Source organism: Homo sapiens, chromosome 17 (assembly GCF_000001405.40).
Source record: "Homo sapiens chromosome 17, GRCh38.p14 Primary Assembly".
Classification (NCBI taxonomy): domain Eukaryota; kingdom Metazoa; phylum Chordata; class Mammalia; order Primates; family Hominidae; genus Homo; species Homo sapiens.
The window spans coordinates 18,886,271-18,910,910 of NC_000017.11; the positions used below are offsets into that span (position 1 = coordinate 18,886,271).

At 44.4% G+C, this 24,640-nt stretch overlaps 1 protein-coding gene and 1 pseudogene across 20 annotated transcripts in view, besides 1 other annotated feature; both read left to right on the plus strand.

Annotated features, from left to right (window-relative positions):
• PRPSAP2 (phosphoribosyl pyrophosphate synthetase associated protein 2) overlaps nt 1-24,640 on the plus strand; it is a 74,989-nt gene that overhangs the window by 29,972 nt on the left and 20,377 nt on the right. For all 20 annotated transcript variants that reach the window (NM_001243942.1, XM_047436415.1, NM_001353106.2 and 17 more), the window contains one exon: nt 3,552-3,607. In NM_001243942.1, coding sequence (NP_001230871.1) covers nt 3,552-3,607 — 56 coding nt within the window. The remainder of the gene's footprint in view (nt 1-3,551; nt 3,608-24,640) is intronic.
• Nucleotides 14,413-14,462: an enhancer, noted in NCBI's record as "active region_11843". NCBI's record gives its function as "activates an Ori minimal core promoter by ATAC-STARR-seq in GM12878 lymphoblastoid cells {active_cell/tissue: GM12878}" and the evidence as "EXISTENCE:reporter gene assay evidence [ECO:0000049][PMID:35858748]".
• LOC100419620 (RAN binding protein 1 pseudogene) lies at nt 21,903-22,729 on the plus strand (annotated as a pseudogene).

The following is a 24,640-nucleotide window of genomic DNA, read 5'->3' on the forward strand; positions in this document are numbered from 1 at the left end:
TCACTGGAATTTAAGCACCTTCTGCCAGAGTCAGAAGGAACATTCTGGTACTAGGATGCTCGTTGCCTTGAAATTTTTGCCATCTATACTTTTTTTTTTTTTTGAGACGGAGTCTCACTCTGTCGCCCAGGCTGGAGTGCAGTGGCGCAATCTCAGCTTACTGCAAGCTCCGCCTCCCGGGTTCACGCCATTCTCCTAGGCCTCAGCCTCCCCAGTAGCTGGGACTACAGGCACCTACCACCACGCCTGGCTAATTTTTTTGTAGTTTTAGTAGAGATGGGGTTTCACCGTGTTAACCAGGATGGTCTCAATCTCCTGACCTAATGATCTGCCCGCCTCAGCCTCCCAAAGTGCTGGGATTACAGGTGTGAGCCACCGCGCCCAGCCAACTTTTGCCATCTCTTCTGAGGGCGTCTGACAGTGTCTGTTGCCTTCCGCTGCACTGCTGGGGATGTGTCAGGCAGTCCTTTTCACAGTTTGACCTACTGGTAGGGATCTTCCTTTCTTAAGTTTCATAAAGCATTTGATTGTTGCCTTGCAAGAAAATGTGGAATTGTATCATTTTTCCAGTGATGAATATTTGATTCATGAATATCAAATTATACTCTGATGGTCTCTTCCTGTGTCTTTCTGCATACATGATAATTTTTCTTTTCTTCTTTTTTTTTTTTTTTTTTTTTTTTGAGACGGAGTTTTGCTCTTGTTGCCCAGGCTGGAGTGCAGTGGCGCAATCTCAGCTCATCACAACCTCCGCCTCCCAGGTTCAAGCGATTCTCCTGCCTCAGCCTCCCGAGTAGCTGGGATTACAGGCATGGGCCCCCATACCTGGCTAATTTTGTATTTTTAGTAGAAAGGGGGTTTTCCATGTTGGTCAGGCTGGTCTTGAACTCCCAAACTCAGGTTATCCACCCGCCTCAACCTCCCAGAGTACTGGGATTACAAGCGTGAAGCCACCGTGCCCGGCTTGATAATTTTTCATTTTAATGAAAAATTTTAATGAAAAGAATCATAGTAATTCTTTCTGGAGACATTTTAAATGGGTTCAAACAATTCTCCTGGGTTCAAACAATTCTCCGGCCTCAACCTCCTGAGTAACTGGATTACAGGTGTGCACCACCACGCCTGGCTAATTTTGTTTTGCATTTTTAGCAGCGAGGGGGTTTCACCATGCTGGCCAGGCTGGTCTTGGCTCAGATGTTCTGCCCACCTTGGCCTCCCAAAGTGCTGGGATTATGGGCATGAGCCACCGTGCCTGGCCATCTTTGGGAATTTTTTTTAATCTGTTAAGTATTTCATCCCTTCTATTTCTTTTATTATTTTCCTTTGGGAACTATTAGGTCCTGAAAATTTTGGATCTAGTCTCTATAACTTTTAAAAACTTATTTTACTTTTTGCATACTTATATATAGCATTCTGGGGAAATTCCTTGTCTTGATCTTCCCTGGTTTGTTCTTAAAGTTGTGTTTATTCTGCTGTTAAGCCAGCCAGCTACTGGGTTTCTTTAGACCATAATAACTTCTTCCCCCTAGATTTATTTTTGGTTCTTTTTCATAATAACTTGTTCTTTCTTTTTTTTTTTTTTAATTTATTTTTTTATTGATAATTCTTGGGTGTTTCTCACAGAGGGGGATTTGGCAGGGTCATGGGACAATAGTGGAGGGAAGGTCAGCAGATAAACAAGTGAACAAAGGTCTCTGGTTTTCCTAGGCAGAGGACCCTGCGGCCTTCCGCAGTGTTTGTGTCCCTGATTACTTGAGATTAGGGATTGGTGATGACTCTTAACGAGCATGCTGCCTTCAAGTATCTGTTTAACAAAGCACATCTTGCACCGCCCTTAATCCATTTAACCCTGAGTGGACACAGCACATGTTTCAGAGAGCACAGGGTTGGGGGTAAGGTCACAGATCAACAGGATCCCAAGGCAGAGGAATTTTTCTTAGTGCAGAACAAAATGAAAAGTCTCCCATGTCTACTTCTTTCTACACAGACACGGCAACCATCCGATTTCTCAATCTTTTCCCCACCTTTCCCGCCTTTCTATTCCACAAAGCCGCCATTGTCATCCTGGCCCGTTCTCAATGAGCTGTTGGGCACACCTCCCAGACGGGGTGGTGGCCGGGCAGAGGGGCTCCTCACTTCCCAGTAGGGGCGGCCGGGCAGAGGCGCCCCTCACCTCCTGGGCGGGGCGGCTGGCCGGGCGGGGGGCTGACCCCCCCACCTCCCTCCCGGACGGGGCGGCTGGCCGGTCGGGGGGCTGACCCCCCACCTCCCTCCCGGACGGGGCGGCTGGCCAGGCAGAGGGGCTCCTCACTTCCCAGTAGGGGCGGCCGGGCAGAGGCGCCCCTCACCTCCCGGACGGGGCGGCTGGCCGGGCAGGGGGGCTGACCCCCCCCACCTCCCTCCCGGACGGGGCGGCTGGCCGGGCAGGGGGGCTGACCCCCCCCACCTCCCTCCCGGACGGGGCGGCTGGCCGGGCGGGGGGCTGACCCCCCCACCTCCCTCGCGGACGGGGCGGCTGGCCGGGCAGAGGGGCTCCTCACTTCCCAGTAGGGGTGGCCGGGCAGAGGCGCCCCTCACCTCAACTTGTTCTTTCTTGTTGTATATAATTTCCCATTTTAACCTCCGTAGAGACAATAGACTTGTTTTTGTTAGAGTCCTTTCTTTTAGGTCCTTTAATTGTTATTAACTGTTTTCTTGGTTCTGTCTTTTCTTGGCTGGGTTTGGTAATGTTTGATGATGTTTGATGAGACAAGGAAATACATGAAAAAGTTTAGAAAGACTGCCAGCAAAAATAATGAAAGTGCCCAAATGGAAATATATTTTACTGCCTTACTTCCTGAGAGTGTTGGATAAATTAGGCTTTCCTGTAGATACAGCTGAGCCATGTGATTATGCCGGAGGCAACTGTACTAAATTATTCAAATTAATCATTTTTTGTTCATTTGCTAAGTAGTTATTATTTAGTGCTTGTTGTATGGTAGGCATTGTTTTATACATGTTGCTAGGTGTTATTAACTGCTCATATTAAAATTCATTGGTGTAATTGTGAGAAAAAAGCAATGAGAATATAGTTAATATATTTTTTTAAAATAGTGCTGGGCCGATTATCCTTTAACAAATTGGTTGCTTCAACATGTTATGACTGCGATATGTTAAATAGCCATTTGTTTGGACTGCAGTAATTTGGAATTTGACAGTCAGCTTGTATTCAGATTGAATTGGATATCCTTGTACTTTGAAATTACATGTAATTAGGATTCTTGTTGACGAGATATATAGAAACATCTTTACACTGCATCATTAGTATTTGCTGGCAGAGATAAGAGCTAATCACCAATTATCCCTACTTTTTTCCTAAAAGAAGTCTGTGTGGCTCACAAGTTAGTAATATTTTTTCATAGGCAGGTTCCTTTCTTCATTTTCCAAAGGAGAATTTTACTTTGAACTTTTTCTTTTTTTGGAAAACTTTCAACTAGCCAAGCATTTTTGGGTCTGTTGGAATTTTCCTTTTTGTTGACATGCAGTAATACCTGACTTCTTGTCTGTCACAGATCCCAGATTACAGGAATGCAGTAATCGTGGCCAAGTCTCCAGCCTCGGCGAAGAGGTAGGTGGGAATCTCACAACCTCTTTCTGGATCTACTTCTAAGGATTGTATCCGTGATGAGTTCCAGGCATTCTAATTTGAACTTCAGTGGTTCCCAGCGATATCTCTTATTTTTCTTCCATGGACTGGTATTTTAAGATTGTTCTGTCAACTCCATTTATTAAGTAAACATTTTAATTTCCTCTCTTTTTTTTCCAATCCCACTCTATGATTGCCAGACATACTTCCTTTTTTAAGTTATCTTCCACTTACACTTTCTTTTATTTTTATTATTATTATTATTTATTTTATTTTATTTCTTTATTTTTTGAGATGGAGTTTCGCTCTTGTTGCCCAAGCTGGAGTGCAGTGGCGCGATCTCGGCTCACCACAACCTCCACCTCCTGGGTTCAAGCGATTCTCCTGCCTCAGCCTCCCAAGTAGCTGGGATTACAGGCGTGCACCACCATGCCTGGCTAATTTTTGTATTTTTAGTAGAGATGAAGTTTCACCATGTTGGTCAGGCTGGTCTCAAACTCCTGACTTCAGGTGATCCACCTGCCTTGGCCTCCCAAGGTGCTGGGATTACAGGCGTGAGCCACCACACTGGGCCTTATTTTTATTTTTAATAGTAGAAACAGAGTTTTGCCATGTTGTCCAGGCAGGTCTTGAACTACTGAGGCTCAAACGATCCACCCACCCGCCTTACCCTCCCAAAGTGCTGGGATTACAGGCATGAGCCACTGCGCCTGACCTCAATCATATTTCTTGACCAAAGCAATCCAGTTCTGGGGAATACGATCTAGTGTTTTCCCCAGACCCAGATTGACAATCACATGTCAGTCTTTGAGTCTGGCGTTTACAGTACTGGCGAATATTTACAGTACTAGCAGACAACTTCATAGTTGTTTACTGCCCCTTATTTGAGGAACTCAGAAATTGATTAACAGAATTTTATCCAGCTGAGAGGCCAGTTATTTGTATATGTTAAAGGTGACATTTTACAAAATTGACACAACCTGAGGTGTACCAAAGGGGGAGCCTTGAGAGTCAGTAGAGTGAGTTACATGTAACCTGGAGTAACTGATGTGTCACTATTGCATACTTAAAATTATATGTCGGTTGAGAGGATTTCTTATACTACCAGTGTTTTGTGGAGAAGCCACTCCACTGGAGAGGGAAAGAACAAAATCACTTGTAGGAATAAAGCCTTTTTCCTAAAAAAGCCCTTTTAAAGTTATTTTCCAGTTGAATACCTTTGATCACTGGATTGTTGTTGAGTCCTGTGGAATGAAAGAAAGTGTAGGGTGCCTCCACCCTGGGCTCGTGGGCTGGCAGTATTGAAGGATGGAGGAGAACTTGCACACAGTAAGCCATTGATTTCAAAAGTATTTCACATAAGTCATTGACGTTATGAATTAAGAATAGCACTTTAATATGTAGACTTAGTATATTAAATAAAATAAATTGGCATTTGAGATAAAACCATTACATGGCTGTGTTCTTGTGGCTGACTTTCCCAACCCAGCCGGGCCTGTGTTCACCCATGTGTCCTTCAAGAAGTTGTATCACCTGATCTCCTCTTGTCCATTTGATTAAATTGTAAGAAACAGACTGAATTTTAGAATGTAAACATTTCAAATAGCTTTTCCAAACATTTCTTCAAAGGCTGAATTAATTTTACTTAATAATTTTTCTCTGATATACATGCTTTAAAAAAATGTAGGTGAAAAATCACATAATATACAATAATTTTAAAGTATAGAATTCACTGGCATTTAGTGCATTCACAATGTTGTGTAACCACCACCTGTCTCTGTTTTCAGAACATTTTCGTCTTCCCAGAAGAACATCTAGTACCCATTCAGCAATCATTCCTTATCCCTTCACCTTCTGTCCCTCGGCAGCCACACAGTATGTGGCCCTCTGTGTCTGGTTTCTTTCACTTAGCAGTTTTCAAGGTTCATCTATGGTGTAGCATGTAGTATCTCAGTGTTTTGTTGTCGCTGTTATTGTTCGAGACAAAATCTTACTCTGTTGCCGAGGCTGGAGTGCAGTGGCACGATCTCAGCTCACTGCAACCTCCGCCTCCTGGGTTCAAGCAATTCTCCTGCCTCATCCTCCCAGGTAGCTGGAATTACAGGTGCATGCTACCACACCTGGGTAATTTTTGTATTTCTGGTAGAGATGAGGTTTCACCATGTTGGTCAGGCTGGTCTTAAACTCCTGACCTTGTGATCTGCCTGCCTCGGCCTCCCAAAGTGCTGGGATTACAGGCGTGAGCCACCGCACTTGGCCAGTACCTCAGTCCTTTTGATGGCTGAGTAATATTGCATTGTATGTGTATACTAGTTTGTTTATCCATTCATCTGTTGATGGACACTTTTTTTTTTTACCGTTTGGCTATTATGAATAGGACTCCTATGGTCAGTCATGGATTAGTTTTTGTGTTGGCATAAGTTTTCATTTTTCCTTTCTTGTGGATATATATTAGGATTGGAATTGCTGGGTCATATGGCAGTTTCGTTTATGTTTTGAGGAACTATCAGTCTCTTTTCCACTGCAGCTGCCCATTTTACATTCCCACCAGCAGAGTATGAGGGTTCCAACTTCTCCACATCTTCACCAACACTTAATTCTCTGAGTTTTTTCATTATAATCATCCTAGTGGGTGTGAAATTCTACCTTATCGTGGTTTTCATTTGCATTTCCCTAATGATTGATGATGTTGAGTATCTTTTTTTTTTTTTTAATGAGACAGGGTCTCAGTATGTTGCTCAGGCTGGGCTCAAACTCTTGGGCTCAATCAATCCTTCTGCCTCAGCCTGTTGAGTGTGTGTGTGTGTGTGTGTGTGTGTGTGTGTGTGTGTGTATTTATTTATTTATTTATTTTTTTGAGACAGAGTCTCGCTCTGTCACCCAGGCTGGAGTGCAGTGGCGCGATCTCGGCTCACTGCAACCTCCGCCTCCCAGGTTTAAGCGATTCTCCTGCCTCAGCCTCCTGAGTAGCTGGGATTACAGGCATGCGCCACCATGCCTAGCTGTTGAGTATATTTTTATGTGCTTTTTGGCCATTTGTATATATTTGGAGAAATGCCTGTTCACACCCTTTGCCCATTTAATAATTGGGTTGTCTTTTTGTTGAGTTATAAGCACTCTTTATATATTCTACATACTAAACCTTGTTAGATACATGATTTGCAGATATTTTCTCTCTTTCTGCAGATTGTCTTTTCACTGTCTTGATGGTGTTCTTTCACACAAAAAGGTTTCAATGCTGATAAAGTTCAATTTATCTTTTTTTTTTTTTTTTTTTGAGACGGAGTCTCAGTCTGTTGCCCAGGCTTGAGTGCAGTGTCTCAGCTCACTGCAACCTCTGCCTCCCGGGTACAAGCGAGTCTCCTGCCTCAGCCTCCTGAGTAGCTGGGATTACAGGTGCCCGCCACCACACCCGGCTAATTTTTTGTATTTTTTAGTAGAGATGGAGTTTCACCATGTTGGCCAGGCTGGTCTCGAACTCTTGACCTCGTGATCCGCCTGCCTTGGCCTCCCCAATCAATTTATCTTTTTTGTTTGTTATTGCCTCTGCTTCTGATGTCATGTCTAAGAATCCATTGGCCAGGTGCAGTGGCTCACTTCTGTAATCTCAGCACTTCGGGAGGCTGAGGCAGAAGGATCACTTGAGCCCAGGAATTTGAGACCAGCCAGGGCAATATAGTGAGACCTCGTTTTTAAGAAAAAAAAAAACATTAACTGGATGTGGTGGCATTTGTCTGTGGTTCTAGCTACTTGGGTGGCTGAGGTGGGAGGATTGCTTGAGCCCAAGAGGTCAAGGCTACAGTGAGCCGTGATTGCACCACTGCCTGGCTAATTTTTGTGTTTTTAGTAGAGACGGGGTTTCGCCATGTTGGCCAGACTGGTCTCCAACTCCTGACCTCAAGTGATCTTGACCTCAAATGATCATCCCAAAGTATTGGGATTACAGGCATGAGCCACCGCACCCAGCCACCATAGCTTTTTAATTTTTTTGAGATGGAGTTTCACTCTTGTTGCCCGGGCTGCACAATCTTGGCTCACTGCAACCTCTGCCTCCCAGGCTCAAGCAATTCTATTGCCTCAGCCTCCCAAGTAGCTGGGATTACAGGTGTGCACCACTTCACCTGGCTAATTAGTAGAGATGGGGTTTCACTATGTTGGTCAGGCTGGTGACCAACCTGATCTCCTGACCTCAGGTGATCCACCCACCTCTGACTCCCAAAGTGCTGGGATTACAGACGTGAGCCACCATGCAGGCCTCTATAGCTTTTTTTTTTCTTTTGAGACGGAGTTTCGCTCTTGTTGCCCAGGCTGGGGTACAATGGCACGATCTCAGCTCACCCTGCAACCTCCACCTCTCGGGTTCAAGTGATTCTCCTGCCTCAGTCTTCTGACTAGCTGGGATTACAGGCATGCGCCACCACGCCTATCTAATTTTGTATTTTTAGTAGAGATGGGGTTTCTCCATGTTGGTCAGGCTGGTCTTGAACTCCAGACCTCAGGTGATCTGCCTGCCTCGGCATCCCAAAGTGTTGGGATTATTGGCATGATCCACCATGCCCGGCCCTCTGTAGCTTTTCAATAGTCTTTTTTTTTTTTTTTTTTGAGACAGAGTCTTGCTCTGTTGCCCAGGCTGGAGTGCAGTGGTGCAATCTTGGCTCACTGCACCCTCCGCCTCCTGGGTTTAAGCAATTCTCTGCCTCACCTCCTGAGTAGCTGGGATTGCAGGCACCTGCCACCATGCCCAGCTAATTTTTAATTTTTGTATTTTTAGTAGAGATGGGGTTTCACCATCTTGGCCAGGCCAGTCTTGAACTCCTGACCTCGTGATCCACCCACCTCAGTCTCCCAAAGTGCTGGGATTACAGGCGTGAGTCACCACGCCCAGCCTTAATAGTCTTCAAGTTGGGTATTGTCACACCTCCAACTTTGTTCTTCAATATTGTGTTGGCTATTTTGGGTCTTTTGCCTCTCCATATAAACTTCAGAATCAGTTTTTTGAAATACACAAAATAACTTGTTGGGATTTAGATTGGGATTTGCATTAAATCTGTAGATCAGATTGGGGAGAACTGGCATCTTGACAATATTGAGTCTTCCTATCCATGAACATGGGATATCATTTTTTAAAAATTCATCTTTGATTTCTGTCATCAGAGTTTTGTAGTTTTCCCCATATAGATGTGTACTTTTTTTTTTTTTTTTTTTAAAGAGAAAGTCTTGCTCTGTTTACCCAGACTGGAGTGCACTGGTGCCATCACAGCTCACTACAGCCTTGAATTTTTGGGCTCATGGCAATCCTTTCATTTCAGCCTCCTAAGTAGCTAGGACTATAGGTGTGCACCACCATGCCTGGCTAATTAAAAAAATATATATATATTTTTTGTTAGAGACGGGGGTCTGACTGTGTTGCCTAGGCTGGTCTCTAACTCCTAGGCTCAGCCTCCCAGTGTTGGGATTGCAGGCATGAGCCATCACTTCCAGCCCATATTTTGTTATATTTATGCCTAAATAAATATTTCATTTCTTTGGGTATCCCTTAATTTTTTAGACATTGTTTTCTTTAGTTCTGTGAACATATTTATGATAGCTAATTTATTGTGTCTAGTTATTCTGACATTGGGCTTTTTCAGAGATCGTTTCTGTTGACTGCTTTTTTACTGTGTATGGGCCATGTTTTTCTTTTTTTTAATGTTTAAAAAAACTTATTACTTTATTATTTTAATTTAATTTAATTTTTATTTTTATTTTATGACAGAGTCTTGCTCTGTTGCCCAGGCTGGAGTGCAGTGGCATGATCTCAGCTCACTGTGACCTCTGCCTCCTGGGTTCCAGCGATTCTCCTGCCTTAGCCTCCTGAGCAGCTGGGATTACAGGTGTGTGCCACCAAACCCAGCTAATTTTTGTATTTTTAGTAGAGACGGGATTTCACCATGTTGGCTGGGCTGGTCTCAAAACTCCTGACCTCAGGTGATCCACCCATCTTGGCCTCCCAAAATGCTGGGATTACAGGTGTGAGCCACCATGCCTGGCCAAAACTTCTTACTTTAAAAAAGAATACAGAAACAAGATCTTGCTGTGTTTCTGGACTGGTCTCAAACTCCTGGCCTCAAGCAATCTTCCTGCCTTGGGCCTCCTGAAGTTCTAGAATTAAAAGTGTGAGCCACCATGCCCGGCCCATATTTTCCTTTTTGTTTGCATGCCTTGTACATTTTAGTTAAAAACAACATTTTAAATTATGTAATGTGAAAAATCTGAGCATCAGATTCTACCTCCACCAATTCCCAGTGTTTGTTGTTGCTGTTGTTTCTGTGATATGTTTGTTTAGTGGCCACCCTGTGCCAATTCTGTAAAGTCTGTATTCTTTGTAGCATTCAGCCACTGAAGTCTCTGGTTGGTTAGCTTACTGGCCAGCTAATGATTGGACAGAGATTTCCTGAAATGCCTTGAAGCAATAAATCTCCCACTCTCTTCAAGGTCTGTGTGTGTGTGTTTGTGCATGTCTTCAATTCTCCCAGCAGCTTACAACTCTGCCTTAGCCTTTACTTCTTGGTTGCACAGAGCCTTAAGGTCAGCCAAGGTTCAAGGTTAGGGGCTTTTCAGGTCCTTCCTGGGTAAGCGCATGTTCTTTACATGCAGGAATAAGCTTTTCAAGGCCCATGTGGCCATCTCATTCCCCAGATTTTCCTTTTTTTTTTTTTTTTTTTTGTCTAGCCCCTTGTTTTACTCAACTGGTATTGTCACTTCAGGCGGCTGCAGTGTTAAACAGTTGCTGTTGATTGCTCATCTACTCTGGGGATGGGACTATTCACACAGAGTGACTCTAAGTTTGATCATATTCTCCAGCCCTGAGTCTCAGCAAGCTGCCAGATAGGCATAATAGTGATGGTTACCTGAGAATGGGCTTCTTGAGAAGCTCCAAACCTGTTCTTTTCCCACCAGTGGTTGCTAGTCTTCTGTTTCTCATGGCCACCATGATTATGAGGTTTCCAATTTTTGTCTTTTGCAGAACTGGAGAGAGAGGCATGGGAATAATGGAATAATGGGAATGGGGCAAGTTAAAACACACACAGTTTCTTTTTTTTGAGACAGGGTCTCACTCTGATGCCCAGGCTGGAGTGCAGTGGCATCATTATGGTTTACTGCAGCCTGGACTTCCTGGGCTCAGGTGATCCACCTCAGCCTCCCAAGTAGCTGAGACCACAGGCATGCAGCACCATGCCTGGCTAATTCTCATGTTTTTTTTGTAGAGATGGGGTCTCACTATATTGCCCAGGCTGGTCTCCAACTCGTGGCCTCAAGTGATCTGCCCATCTCAGCCTCCCAAAGTGTTGGGATGATAGTCGTGAACCAGCATGCCCAGCCCAAAGTTTGCTCTTTAACAAGATTCAGCTGTTTTTCTTAAACACTCCTCAGATTGTTGCAAGCTGTTGGTTAACTTCCACAGTTATGTAAAAGTTAATTTTTGCAAAATTTTTTAGAGTTTTTCTTTCTTTCATGGAGGAGCAGATTTTTTAGGGTCCTTATTCTGCCATTCTAGAGTGGTGCTTCTCTATAGTGGTGTTGTTGTTGTTGTTGTTGTTGTTTAGACGGATTTTTATACTTGTCACTTAGGCTGGAGTGCAATGGTGCCATCTTGGCTCACTGCAGCCTCCACCTCCCAGGTTCAAGCGATTCTCCTGTCTCAGCCTCCTGAGTAGCTGGGATTACAGGCTCCCATCTTCACACCCAGCTAATTTTTGTATTCTTAGTAGAGATGGAGTTTTCACTATGTTGGCCAGGCTGGTCTGGAATTCCTGACCTCAGGTAATCTGCCTGCCTTGGCCTCCCAAAATGCTGGGATTACAGGCGTGAGCCACCACGCCCGGCCCTCTATAGTGTTTTGAATATCACCTTATATAGCTGTTTTAATAGTTGTTCTAAGTATTTTATTACATATACAAAACATATTACAATATACTGATGTCATTTTATCAGCCTGAGTGAAATATAGAAGTCATACCTCTCTGTGTCTCTTTACTCCCCCTGTTTTTAATATATTTGTCTTAAATATTTCTATACATACATTTATAGCAGTATCAGGCTGTTAGAATTTTTGCTTTTTTTTTTTTTTTTTTTTTTTTTTGAGGCAGTGTCTCGCTCTGTCACCAGGTTGGAGTGCAGTGGTGCAATCTTAGCTCTTGGTAACCTCCGCCTCCCGGGTTCAAGTGATTCTCCTGTCTCAGCCTCCCAAGTAGCTGGGACTATAGGCGAGCGCCACCACGCCCAGCTAATTTTTGTATTTTTAGTAGAGATGGGGTTTCACTGTGTTGGCCAGGGTGGTCTCCATCTCTTGACCTCGCAATCTGCCCACCGCGGCCTCCCAAAGTGCTGGGATTACAGGCTTGAGCCACCACACCCAGCCAGAATTTTTGCTTTTAAACATCAAACATAATTTAGAAAAGTCAGAAATGAAGAAAAGCTTATTATATTTACAGGTATTTTTGTTTCCTTCTTCCTTGCTGATATTCCAAAGTTTAGTTTATTGTTTCCTTTCTGTTTAGAGTACCTCCTTTTGCCGCTTTTAAATAATAGTTCTGTTGGTAACACATTTTGCTGGTTTTCCTTCATTTGAGAATGTCTAGAGTTCCTTTTCATTCTTGAAGGACATCGTTGCTGGGTATAGGATTCTGGAGTAACGGTTCTTTTCTCTCAGCACCTGAAAAGTTTTTGTGTCACTTTCTTTTGGTCACTGTGGTTTCTGATGAGAAGTTGGTTATCATGAATTATTTTTCAAGATTATTTCTTTGTCTTTAGTTTTCAAAAGTTTAATTATGATATATCTTGAGATTGCTTTGGGTTTATCCTGTTTGGTGTTTGCTGGACTTCTTGAAGCTGTGGGTTTATGTCTCTGACCAATTTGGGAAGCTTTCAGCCATTGTCTTTTTGAGTACTTTTTTAGTCCTACCGTCTTTCTCCTCTTTTTCTGGGACTCTTATGACATAAATGTCAGGTGTTTGTTTGTTTGTTTGTTTGTTTGTTTGTTTGAGATGGAGTTTCATTCTTGTTGCCCAGGCTGGAGTGCAATGGCGTGATCTTGGCTCACCGTTGCAACCTCTGCCTCTTGGGTTCAAGCGATTCTCCTGCCTCAGCCTCCCAAGTAGCTGGGATTACAGGCATGCACCACCACGCCCAGCTACTTTTGTATATTTAGTAGAGACGGGGTTTCTCCATGTTGGTCAGGCTGGTCTTGAACTTCCGACCTCAGGTGATCCACCCACCTTGGCCTCCCAAAGTGCTGGGATTACAGGTGTGAGCCACCGTGCCCAGCTGATCTTTTGTTACAGGTCCATGGGATTCTGTTTATTTTTATTTTCTAGTCTTTTATATTTTTATTTTTTAGTGGGTCTCACTATGTTACTCAGGCTGGTCTTGAACCCCTGGGCTCAAGTGATTCTCCCATCTTAGCCTCCAGAGTAGCTGAAACTACAAGCACATGCCACCATGCCCTGCCACAGCCATTGTTCTCTCTGTTGTCCAAATTGGCTAATTTCTGTTGTCTGTCTTCCAGTTCACTGATTCTTTCCTTGACCTCCATTATTATTTTCACTGTAACTTCCATTCTGCTGTTGAGTATATCCAACTGAGTTTTTTTTTTTTTTTTTTTTTTTTTTGAGACAGGGTCTCACCTCTGTTGCCCAGGCTGGAGTGTAGTGGTATGATCACAGCTCACTGCAACCTCTGCCTCCTAGGCTCAAGCAATCCTCCCACATCCGCCTCCCAAGAAGCTGGGACTACAGGTGCATGCCACCGTGTCTTGCGAATTTATTTTTGGTATTTTTGGTAGAGACGGGGATTTTACCATATTGCCCAGGCTGGTCTTGAACTCCTGAGCTCAAGTGATCTGCCCACCTCAGCTTCTCTAAAGTGCTGGGATTACAGGTGTGAGCCACCACCCCCAGCCCAACTGAGCTTTTTAATTTGGTTATTGTATTTTTTAAGTTCTAAAATAAGTTTTTGGTTCTCTTTTTTTGAGACTGAGTCTCGCTCTGTTGCCCAGGCTGGAGTACAGTGGTGTTATCACAGCTCACTGCAACCTCCGCTCCCTGGGTTCAAGTGATCCTTATGCCTCAGCCTCCTGAGGAGCTGGGATTACAGGCATCTGCCACCACGCCCGGCTAATTTTTGTATTTTTAGTAGAGATGGGGTTTCACCATGTTGGTCAGGCTGGTCTTGAACTTCTGACCTCGTGATCTGCCCGCCTCAGCCTCCCAGACTGCTGGGATTACAGGCGTGAGCCACCGTGCCTGGCTGCTAATTTTGTATTTTTAGTAGAGACGGGGTTTTGCCATGTTGGCCAGGCTGGTTTCAAACTCCTGGCCTCAAGTGATCTGCCTGCCTCGGCCTCCCAAAGTACTGGAATTACAGTCATGAGACACTACGCCTGGCCTTGGGTCTTTTTTTATACCTTCTATTTTTTTGTCAATACTTTCTTTGTTTAGACTTCTTGTTTTTTATTTCACACATGCTCATAATTGCTGCTTGTAGCACTTTTCTGATGGCTGCTCTAAAATCTTTGTTATACAGTTTCAGCATGTCTGTCATCTTGGTGTTGGCATCTGTTAATTGTCTTTTTTCATTCATATTGAGATTTCACTGGCCTTTAGTGTGGCGAGTGGCTTCTGATTGGAATCTGGACTTTTAGATATTGTGTGTGAGACTCTGGGTCTCATTTAGGCCTTCTGATTTTGCTGGCTTCTCAGGACTCTGGCAGGGAAAGTGGTGGTGTTGGGGCTCGTTTCTGCTAGGTAAGGGTAGAAGTCGAGATTCACCACCAGGCCTTGTGTGGACCACCTAAGGTGGTCCTTGTTACTCATGGGTGGAAATGCTCCCTCCATGTCCTCCGCTGACGCCAAGGAAAAGTAGCATCATTCTCATTGGGTGGTGGTGGAATTCCTGACTCCACCAGGCTGCCTCTGATACCACTGCAATGGAGAGGGGAGGGGCACCTCTTTACTGCTGAGTTGGGGGTAGAAGTCCAGATTTCACTCTCCACTGACTCTGGCAGTTGCTCCTTACTGCTGAGTGAGGGTGAAAGTCCCAGCTCCCTGTTTGGCCTTCTGTGAAACCACCCCATTGGGTTTGGGGTGCCTCATTATAGCCTGACAAGCCAGGAAGTACAGGCTCACCCCTCAACCTTTACTCATGCGGCGGAAATGTGGCGGAAACGTGGGCTGTGGCTTTCCTGCCTGTGTGGCTAGAGTAAGGCAGTTATTGTCTAAATATTTTCTCACTCACTAGGTTGCCCTTTTCTTAGTCCTTTGACTAGGGAGAGCCGACCTTTGTTGGAGCTTTTCTTGTCTTTGCCCACTGGCATTTTTGGGTCGCTTCTTCTCCAGCTACAAATCTGGGATAATAAGGCAAAAGGAATGCCCAAGGAAGCCACCACCGTGACGTTGCTCAGGTCCTGAGGTCCCTTGCTAGTCTGCCTTCTCTCTACCTTTTAGTGTCTTCTCATTTTTTTTTGAGACGGAATCTCGCTCTGTCACCCAGGCTGGAGTGCAGTGGCACGATCTTGGCTCACTGCAAACTCCGCCTCCCGGGTTCATGCCATTCTCCTGCCTCAGCCTCCCGAGTAGCTGGGACTACAGGCGTCTGCCACTATGCCTGGCTAATTTTTGTATTTTTAGTGGAGACAGTTTCACCATGTTAGCAAGGATGGTCTCTATCTCCTGACCTCGTGATCTGCCTGCCTCAGCCTCCCAGAGTGCTAGGATTACAGGCATGAGCCACTGCGCCTGGCCAGAGTCTTCTCATTTTTGTTTGTATGTAACATCCAGGGGTTTTAGTTGTGGGTGGCAGAAGGAGTATTAATAATCCTTCCTAGTGGAAGCAGAAGTGACAATGTTTTGATACTTTTTTTTCCTTGAGACAGGTTCTTGCTCTGTCATCCAGGCTGGAGTGCAGTGGTACAACCACGGCTCACTGTAGCCTCCATCTCCTGGGCTCAAGAGATCCTCCTGCCTTAGTCTCCTGAGTAGCTGGGACTGCAGGCATGTGCCACCATGCCCAGCTGGTTTTTTCCTTATTTTTGTAGCAACGGGATCTCCCTATGTTGCCAGGTCTGGTCTCTAACTCTAGGGTACAAGTAATCCTCCTGCCTTGGCCTCCTAAAGTTCCGGGATTACAGGCATGAGCCACTGCATCTGGCCTTGATACATTTTTTTTTCTTTCCCACTAAATACCAGAAGAACATGATGAATTTTCTGTTGACTTTCCCATCTGGGTGGACTTTTAGTAACCTCTAGAGTCCTCAGTTTACTTCTGTCACCCACCTGTTCACAGAGGGATGGATGTAGTAGCCTTTTGCTCAGTTTCTTTGGCTTTTGTCAGTGATGTTTGTCATTCATCTGTTCAAATGTTTATTGAGAACCTATTTTGCTGGGGCTGATGAGGCCTAGGAAGATGCCCTGTAGGAATGCATGTGTAGCGTCAGATGTTTTTTATCTATGTTATGTTATTTGATCTTTGCAACTTTGGAAGTCAGCAGTTATAATCTCTCATAGATGAGGAAACAGACCCACAGAGATGAAGGAACCAAGGTAGTTCCACCAAATGTTGTTTCCTTGAAGGTAGTGGGGCAACTATTTACTTCCAAGAATGTTTTCTATACCAGTGATTAGGGGACTTGAGTGTTGGCCAAATATGATTGAAATTGGGCCAGGTGCGGTGTCACACCTGTAATCCCAGCACTTTGGGAGGCCGAGGGGGGTGGATCACTTGAGGTCAGGAGTTTGAGACCACCCTGACCAACTTAGTGAAGCCCTGTCTCTACTAAAAATACAAAATTAGCGGGGCATGGTGGCGCACGCCTGTAATCCCAGCTACTTGGGAGGCTGAGGCAGGAGAATTGCTTGAACCTGGGAGGCAGAGGTTGCAGTTAGTCAGGATTGCGCCATTGTACTCCAGCCTGGGTGACAAGAGCAAAACTCCATCTCAAAAAAAAAAAAAAAAAAAAAAAAGAAATTGACTTGCCCCCCTCCACTCAGTCTTTACCGAGTACATATTTGAGTGCTGCTGTGCCAGCCATCGTGGATGTGGTGGTGACCAGTGCAGGCAGGGCTGTGTTCCCATGGCACTTGCAGACTGCCCTCATGTGCTCTTTGACTGGTAGGTCAGTTGGGTAGATTGGAACGAAAGACCCAGTCTCTTTTTCTCCCAGTTTCAGTAATTGAATCCACATAGATCATACTACATTAAATGAATGTTTTAGAGGCTGGGCGCATTGGCTCACCCCTGTAATCCCAGCACTTTGGGAGGCCGAGATGGGTGGATCTCCTGAGGTCAGGAGAATTGCTTGAACCCGGGAGGCGGAGGTTGCGGTGAGCCCAGATCGTGCCATTGCACTCCAGCCTAGGCAACAAGAGCAAAACTCCATCAAATAAATAAATGAATGAATGAACGTGTGTTTTAGTATGGAGATGAGTGCTACAAAAGGTTCAGTTTTATATGGAACAGGTAGTAAAATAACACAGTCAAGGCTTAGGAGTTTGGTCTGTGAGTTTAAGGTATTGTGAGTGGGCTAGGCTCGATGGCTCACACCTGTAATCCCAGCACTTTGGGAGGCTGAGGTTGGAAGATCATTTGAGTCCAGGAGTTCAAGAACAGCCTGGGCAACATGTTGAAACCCCATCTCTACCAAAAATACAAAAATTAGCCGGGTGTGGTGGCGTGTGCCTCTAGTCCCAGCTACTCAGGAGGCTGAGGTGGGAGGATCACTTCAGCCCAGTAGGTGGAGGTTGCAGTGAGGTGAGATCACACCACTGCACTCCAGCCTGGGTGACAGCCAGACCCTGTCTCAAAAAAACAAAGTAAAATAAAAAGGTATTGTGAGCAAGAGCTCTGTCGACATGGCATCAACACAGTAAAGTCAGTTCTGGTTGTCTTATATCCCGTAGCTATGTGGTGGTGATTTTCTTGTGTTCTAATGTCCTGATAAACACATTCACCCAGACTTCGAGCAGGAGATGGCACTTTCTGGCTCAGCCACATGCAAATTCTGATCCTATTATTTCTAGTTCCCTCCTCCAAGTTTTTCATTTGGCAGCCAACCTTAGAAAATAGCTGTAATCAATGTAGAAGTCAGACTGGGGCTGACTTTTATCAGTCAGGAAGGTATTAAATTAGCAGTCCAAGACTTGGGCTTCCACTTGTGCCTTAGCCAGTCTTTGTGAGAACCTTGGTCAAGGCTGTCTCTCCAAGCCTCAGTTTCCTGGGGATAACACCTGCTTGGCTTATCTTACAGAGTTAATAAGCATCAAAGAACTTACTGAAGGACTTTATAAATTAAATACCATTATGTAGAATGGTGGTGGTTAGTGCCTTTATTTATTTATTTTTTGAGACAGGGTCTCCCTCTGTCGCCCAGTCTGGAGTGCAGTGGTGTGATCTCGGCTCACTACAACCTCCACCTCCTGGATTCAAGCGATTCTCTTGCCTCAGCCTCCTAAGTAGCTGGGATTACAGACGTGCGCCACCATGCCCAGCTAATTTTTGTATTTTTGGTAGACATGGGGTTTCACCATGCTGGTAAGGCTCTTCTCGAACTCCTGACCTCAAGTGATCTGCCTGCCTCGGCCTCCCAAAGTGTTGGGATAACAGACGTGAGCCACTGTTGGGATAACAGGCGTGAGCCACTGTGTTTAGTGGTTAGTGCCTTTAGAATCCTGAAGTTATTGATGAATAGGTCGAAGTCCAGAGCTATTGTTTTGGAGTTGTTTGACAATGAGCAGTTGTTTTGACTAAAAGGGATCATCAGAGAAAGTGTTGCTTTTGTAAGGAACAGAACTTGCTTGAATGAGTTGTTTGAAATTGTTTTCTCTGAATAACTGAGTGAATAGGAAACAAAAGGATAGCTGAGGCCCTGTGTCTTGTTCTTTCTCACCCATGATGTAAATTAACTCATTATCGTACAATCAGGATCAAGTTGCTTTAGAATTCCTCTCTGTCAGTGCATGAAACAAAATGACACAGAGAAACCATCCTGATTGATTTTGGAATTAGATGGGAATGCAAAGTATCTGATTAAGTTATATGGAGTATCCAGAAACTCCCATTGCTGTGCAGGTAATAATTTTATTTATTTATTATTTTACTTATTTATTTTTTTGAGACAGAGTCTTGCTGTTGTCGCCTGGGCTGGCATGCAATGGCACGATCTCGGCTCACTGCAACCTTCGCCTCCCGGATTTTAGCAATTCTCCTGCCTTAGCCTCCCGATTAGCTGAGATTACAGGTGCCTGCCACCATGCCTGGGTAATTTTTTTGTATTTTTAGTAGAGACGGGGTTTCACCACGTTGGCCAGGCTGGTCTCAAACTCCTGACCTCAGGTGATCCACCTGCCTTGGCCTCCCAAAGTGCTGGGATTACAAGTGTGAGCCACCGCACCCGGCCATGATTTTATTTATCTTAAGAGCATTGTGCTTTGTAGAGGTTGGTATAATTGAAATATTATTCTAGGAATTGGCAAACCTCCACAGATCCCAGATGGAAAAGACTTCCTTAGAGGATAACTAACAGGTCAGTCATTTGGCCAATTTTGTTTGCAAAGCCAATCTTGAATTTCAAGGAGGAACTAATAATCTATGTGATGCCAACTCTTTTGAAGACTCTGCCCCATTGTTCTGTCTGAAATTTTTTTCTCTTGAGAATTTTTTTTTTTTTTGAGACGGAGTTTCGCTCTTGTTGCCCAGGCTAGAGTGCAATGGTGCGATCTCGGCTCACCGCAATCTCCGCCTCCCGGGTTCAAGTGATTCTCCCACCTCAGCCTCCCAAGTAGCTGGGGATTACAGGCATGTGCCACCACACCCGGCTAATTTGTTTGTGTTTTTAGTAAAGACAGGGTTTCTCCATGTTGGTCAGGCTGGCCCCAAACTCCCAGCCTCAGGTGATCTGCCCGCCTCGGCCTCCCAAAGTGCTGGGATTACAGGCGTGAGCCACTGCTCCTGGCCACTCTCTTGATAATTTTTTAAAAACTATTTTGATTTTTTTTGTAAGGATGAATTCAAAGTTATATGAATACTAAATCTTACATCTTGGGATATTTATCAAATGTTATTAAAATATTCTGTGTTTATGATGCTCCCTCTTTTCCCTTAGGACAAATATTCTGTCTTACACACACATAGATAAATATATTTTACTGACTTCACTGTTTTTGACCTGAACAGTCTTGCTCCTGTGAAGGTTTATCATCTTTTCCTTGGAAATATAAATTACATTCCTCATAGATAGGACCAGACCAATAAATGTTTACTTACGTGTGTCTGAGATTGTTTGTTTGTTTGTTTGTTTGTTTATTTGAGACAGGGTCTTTCTCTGTTGCCCAGGCAGGAGTGCAGTGGTGCAATTATAGCTCAGTGCAGCCTTGACCTTCTGGGCTCAAGTGATTCTCCCACCTCAGCCTCCCAAGTAGCTGGGACTACAGGCGCGTGCTACCACGCCCAGCTAATTTTTGTATTTTTAGTAGAGACAGGGTTTCACCATGTTGGCCAGGATAGTTTCGATCTCTTGACCTTGCGATCCACCCGCCTCAGCCTCCCAAAGTGCTGGGATTACAGGCGTGAGTCACTGTGCCTGGGCCAGCTAATTTTTTTTTATTTTTGTAGAGACGAGGTCTCCCTGTGTTGCCCAGGCTGGTCTCAAACCCCTGGGCTCAAGCCATTCTCCTGCCTTCGTCTCAAAGTGCTGGGATTACAGGTGTGAGCCATCACCCAGCTTTAAAAAGTATATTGAAAATAGGATGATTTAAGCATGAGTTTTTTGTGTGTTTGTTTGTTTGTTTGTTCGTTTTTCAGTAGAGATGGAGTTTCACCATGTTGGCCAGGCTGGTCTTGAACTCCTTGTCCCAAGTGATCTGCCCGCCTTAGCCTCCCAAAGTGCTGGGATTACAGGCGTGAGCTGCCGTGCCCAGCCAAATTTAAATTTCTTGAAATAATTGCTAACACTGTAGCAAAGCTTTCCTTTGTTGTGTAGTGCATATAGGAAACCAGGTTGATGTGAAATTTCTAACAGCTCATAAGAGTCTACATACTAATAGTATTTAGTACTTTCTAGTGCCCTGCTCTTCATATGTCATGTAAATGCCTTGGCTGTATCTAGTATAGATAGTACTAGTGGGATTCAGTATAATCCTTAATTTTTTGTTTGTTTTTAGTAATTCTTGTAAGCAGTTAGTTAAGAACTTGTTTTGAATTTTTGGTGCTGGTAAGCCAAGACTGCGAGAACTTGTTGGATTCTTAAACACTTGAACATTTACCATGCATTAGGTGCTGAGGATGGAAAAAAGAGTAAGACTCAGCATGGCCCCCAGGAATCAGGAGTGGCTGTATTAATATCAGACAAATCAAGGCAAATAATTTTGCCATGGTTGAAGAAGGTCTTTTCCTAATGATAAAGGGGTCAGTTCTTCAAGAGGACAAAACAGTTCTAAACATTTATAAACTAAATGACAGTGTTTCAAAGTATATGAAGCAAACACTGATAACTGCAAGGAGAAATAGATATATCCATAATGATAGTGATTCCATTATTCTTCTCTTAGTAATTGATAGAATAAGGAGACTGAAAATCATTAAGGATGCGGGAGACTTGAACAACCCCTTCAGCCTGCTGGATCTGACTGACAGTCATAGCACACCATCCAGAGAGAGCAGAATGTAGTTCTTTTTTAGTATAAACACAAAGATAGATCATATTCTTGTGAGCCATAAAATAAGCCCCAAATTGATAATTATGCAAGCCATACAAAATATATTCTCTGACCACAGTGGAATTAAGAATAATTCTAATAACAGAAGTATCTTTGGAAATGTCCTGAATATTTAGTAACTAAATAACATACTTTTAGATAACCCATAGGTCAAAGAAGAAGTCAAAAGTGAAATTAAAAAGTATTTAGAACCAAATGAAAATGAAGACACAGGCCAGGCGCGGTGGCTCATGCCTGTATTCCCAACACTTTGGGATGCCAAGGCCGGCAGATTACCTAAGGTCAGGAGTTCAAGACCAGCCTGGCCAATATGATGATGAAACCCCATCTCTACAAAAAATACAAAATTAGCCGAGCGTGGTGGCACACCCTGTAATCCCAGCTACTCGGGAGGCTGAGACAGGAGAATCACTTGATCCAGAGGTGGAGGCTGCAGTGAGCCGAGATCATGTGACCGCACTAGCCAAGATCACGCCACTGCACTCCAGCCTGGGCGACAGAGCAAGACTCCATCTCAACAACAAAAAAAAGCCAGATGCGGTGGGAAGAAGCTCCTGCAAGAGGCCACGGAGCCAGCGACGGGAGGCCTTGAAGCCAGTGACGACCCACTCAGCCGAGCTGCCGCTTTCGCAGCACGCCAAGGACACTCATGAGGACCATGATACTTCCACTGAGAATGCAGATGAGTCCAACCATGACCCTCAGTTTGAGCCAATAGTTTCTCTTCCTGAGCAAGAAATTAAAACACTGGAGGAAGATGAAGAACTTTTAAAAATGCAGACGAAACTGTTCTGATTTGCCTCAGAGAAGGATCTCCCAGAATGGAAGGAGTGAGGCACCGGCAACGTCAAGCTCCTGAAACACAAGGAGAAAGGGACCATCTGCCTCCTCATGCGGAGGGACAAGACCCTGAAGATCTGTGCTAACCACTCTTCACGCTGATAATGGAGCTGAAGCCCAACATGGGTAGTGACCATGCCTGGGTCTGGAACACCCACGCCGACTTCGCCAACGAGTGCCCCAAGCCAGAGCTGCTGGCCATCCACTTCCTGAATATTGAGAATGCACAGAAATTCAAAACAAAGTTTGAAGAATGCAAGAAAGAGATCGGAGAGAAAAGAAAGGATCGGGCAAAAACGATCATGCCAAAAAAAGTGGCGGAAAAGCTAGAAGCTCTTTTGGTGGAGGAGGAAACCAAGGAGGATGCTGAGGAGAAGCAATAAATCATCTTATTTTATTTCCTTTTCCTCCCTTTCCTTTCCTTTTCAAATTTTACCCTGCCCCTCCTTTTCGGTTTGTTTTTATTCTGTTTTGTTTTTACAAGGGATGTTATATAAAGAACTGAATTCAACATTCAAAAAAAAAGATTAAAGCATAAATCAATGAAATAGAAAACAAAAACCAGAAAAAAGCTAAAAAGCTGATTCTTTGAGAAAATCAATGCAATTGATAAACCTTTATCCAGACTGGTTAGGAGAAAACAAGACACAAATTACCTACCGTACCAAGTGTTGGTGAAGATGTGGAGGAACTGGATCTCTCATGTTCTGCTCATGGGACTGTAATATGGTATAACCACTTTGGAAAACAGTGTGGCCTTTTTTTTTTTTTTTTTTTGAGATGGAGTCTCGCTCTGTCGCCCAGGCTGGAGTGCATTGGCACTATCTCCACTCACTGCGAGCTCCGCCTTCCAGGTTCACGCCATTCTCCTGCCTCAGCCTCCTGAGTAGCTGGGATTACAGGTGCCTGCCACCCAGTCCGGCTAATTTTTTTGTATTTTTTTAGTAGAGACGGGGTTTCACCGTGTTAGCCAGGATGGTCTTGATCTCCTGACCTCATGATCCGCCCACCTTGGCCTCCCAAAGTGCTGGGATTACAGGCGTGAGCCACTGCGCCCGGCCTATGTGGCCTTTTTATAAAGAGTTAAATATACACCTACTATATGATCCAGCCATTCCACTCTTAGGAATTTATCAGGAGATAAGAAAGCATGTGGCTGGACACGTAATTCCAGCACTTTGGGAGGCCACGGTGGGCAGATCATCTGAGGTCAGGAGTTGAAGACCAGCCTGGCCAACATGACAAAACCCCGTCTCTACAAAAAATACAAAAATTAGCCAGGCGTGGTGGCACGTGCCTATAATCCCAGCTACTTGGGAGGTTGAGGCAGGAGAATAGCTTGAATCTGGGAGGTGGAGGTTCACACCACTGCACTCCAGCCTGAGCAACAGAGTGAGACTCTGTCTCAAAAGAAAAAGAAAGAAAGAAGGAAAGAAAGCATGTGCCCATACAGAGATCTGTGTATGAATGTTCACAGCAGCTTTGTGACAGCCAAAAACTAGAAACAACCGGAAAGCTCAGCAATACATAAATGGATACACTGTGATATATTCACCCAGCAGAATATTACTCAGCAATGAAAGGGAATGAACTATTGATATGTTATTCCATGGATGAATCTCCAAAACATGTGCTGCGTAAAATAAGACAAAATGGCCAGGCGCAAGTGGCTCACACCTGTAATCCCAGCACTTTGGGAGGTCGAGGTGGGTGGATCATTTCAGGTCAGGAGTTCGAGACCAGTCTGGCTAACATGGTAAAACCCCATCTGTACTAAAAATACAAAAAAGTTAGCCAGATGTGGTGGTGCATGACTGTAGTTCTGGCTATTTGAGAGGCTGAGGCAGGAGAATCGCTTGAACCCGGGAGGCAGAGGTTGCAGTGAACTGAGAAATCCTGCCACCACACTTCAGTCTGGGCGACAGAGCAAGACTCCATCTCAAAAAAAAATCAGACAAAAAAAGGCAACTTTATGATTTCACTTACGTGAAATTCTAGATAGGTGAAACTATAGTGACAGAAAGCAGATCAGCTGTTGCCTGGGGCAACACTTAGTGAAAAATCACTAAGGGGCATAAGGAGATGCTTGTGGTGATGACGTTCCTTATCTTGATTGTGCTAATGCTTATATGGGCACATACAGCCTTCAGAGCTCATGAAATTATATACTTTAGATATGCACAGTTTCTCATATCTCAGTTTTACCTCCCTAAAACTATTAAGAAATTTGTGCTTAATACTTTGGTGAGCATTTTATGCCCTTTGCCCCATGTAGTTGGTTCTCACTGGTAGGTAGGCAGGCAGGTAGAATTAGCAGCTTTAGGTGAGACAGAGCTGAGCGGAGGTTCCTTCACTCAGTCAGGCTCTCCCGGCCAGTGGCTTGCAGACCAGGCCAGGCTGCTGCCCTTCTTTGGTGCTGCTGCAGAGG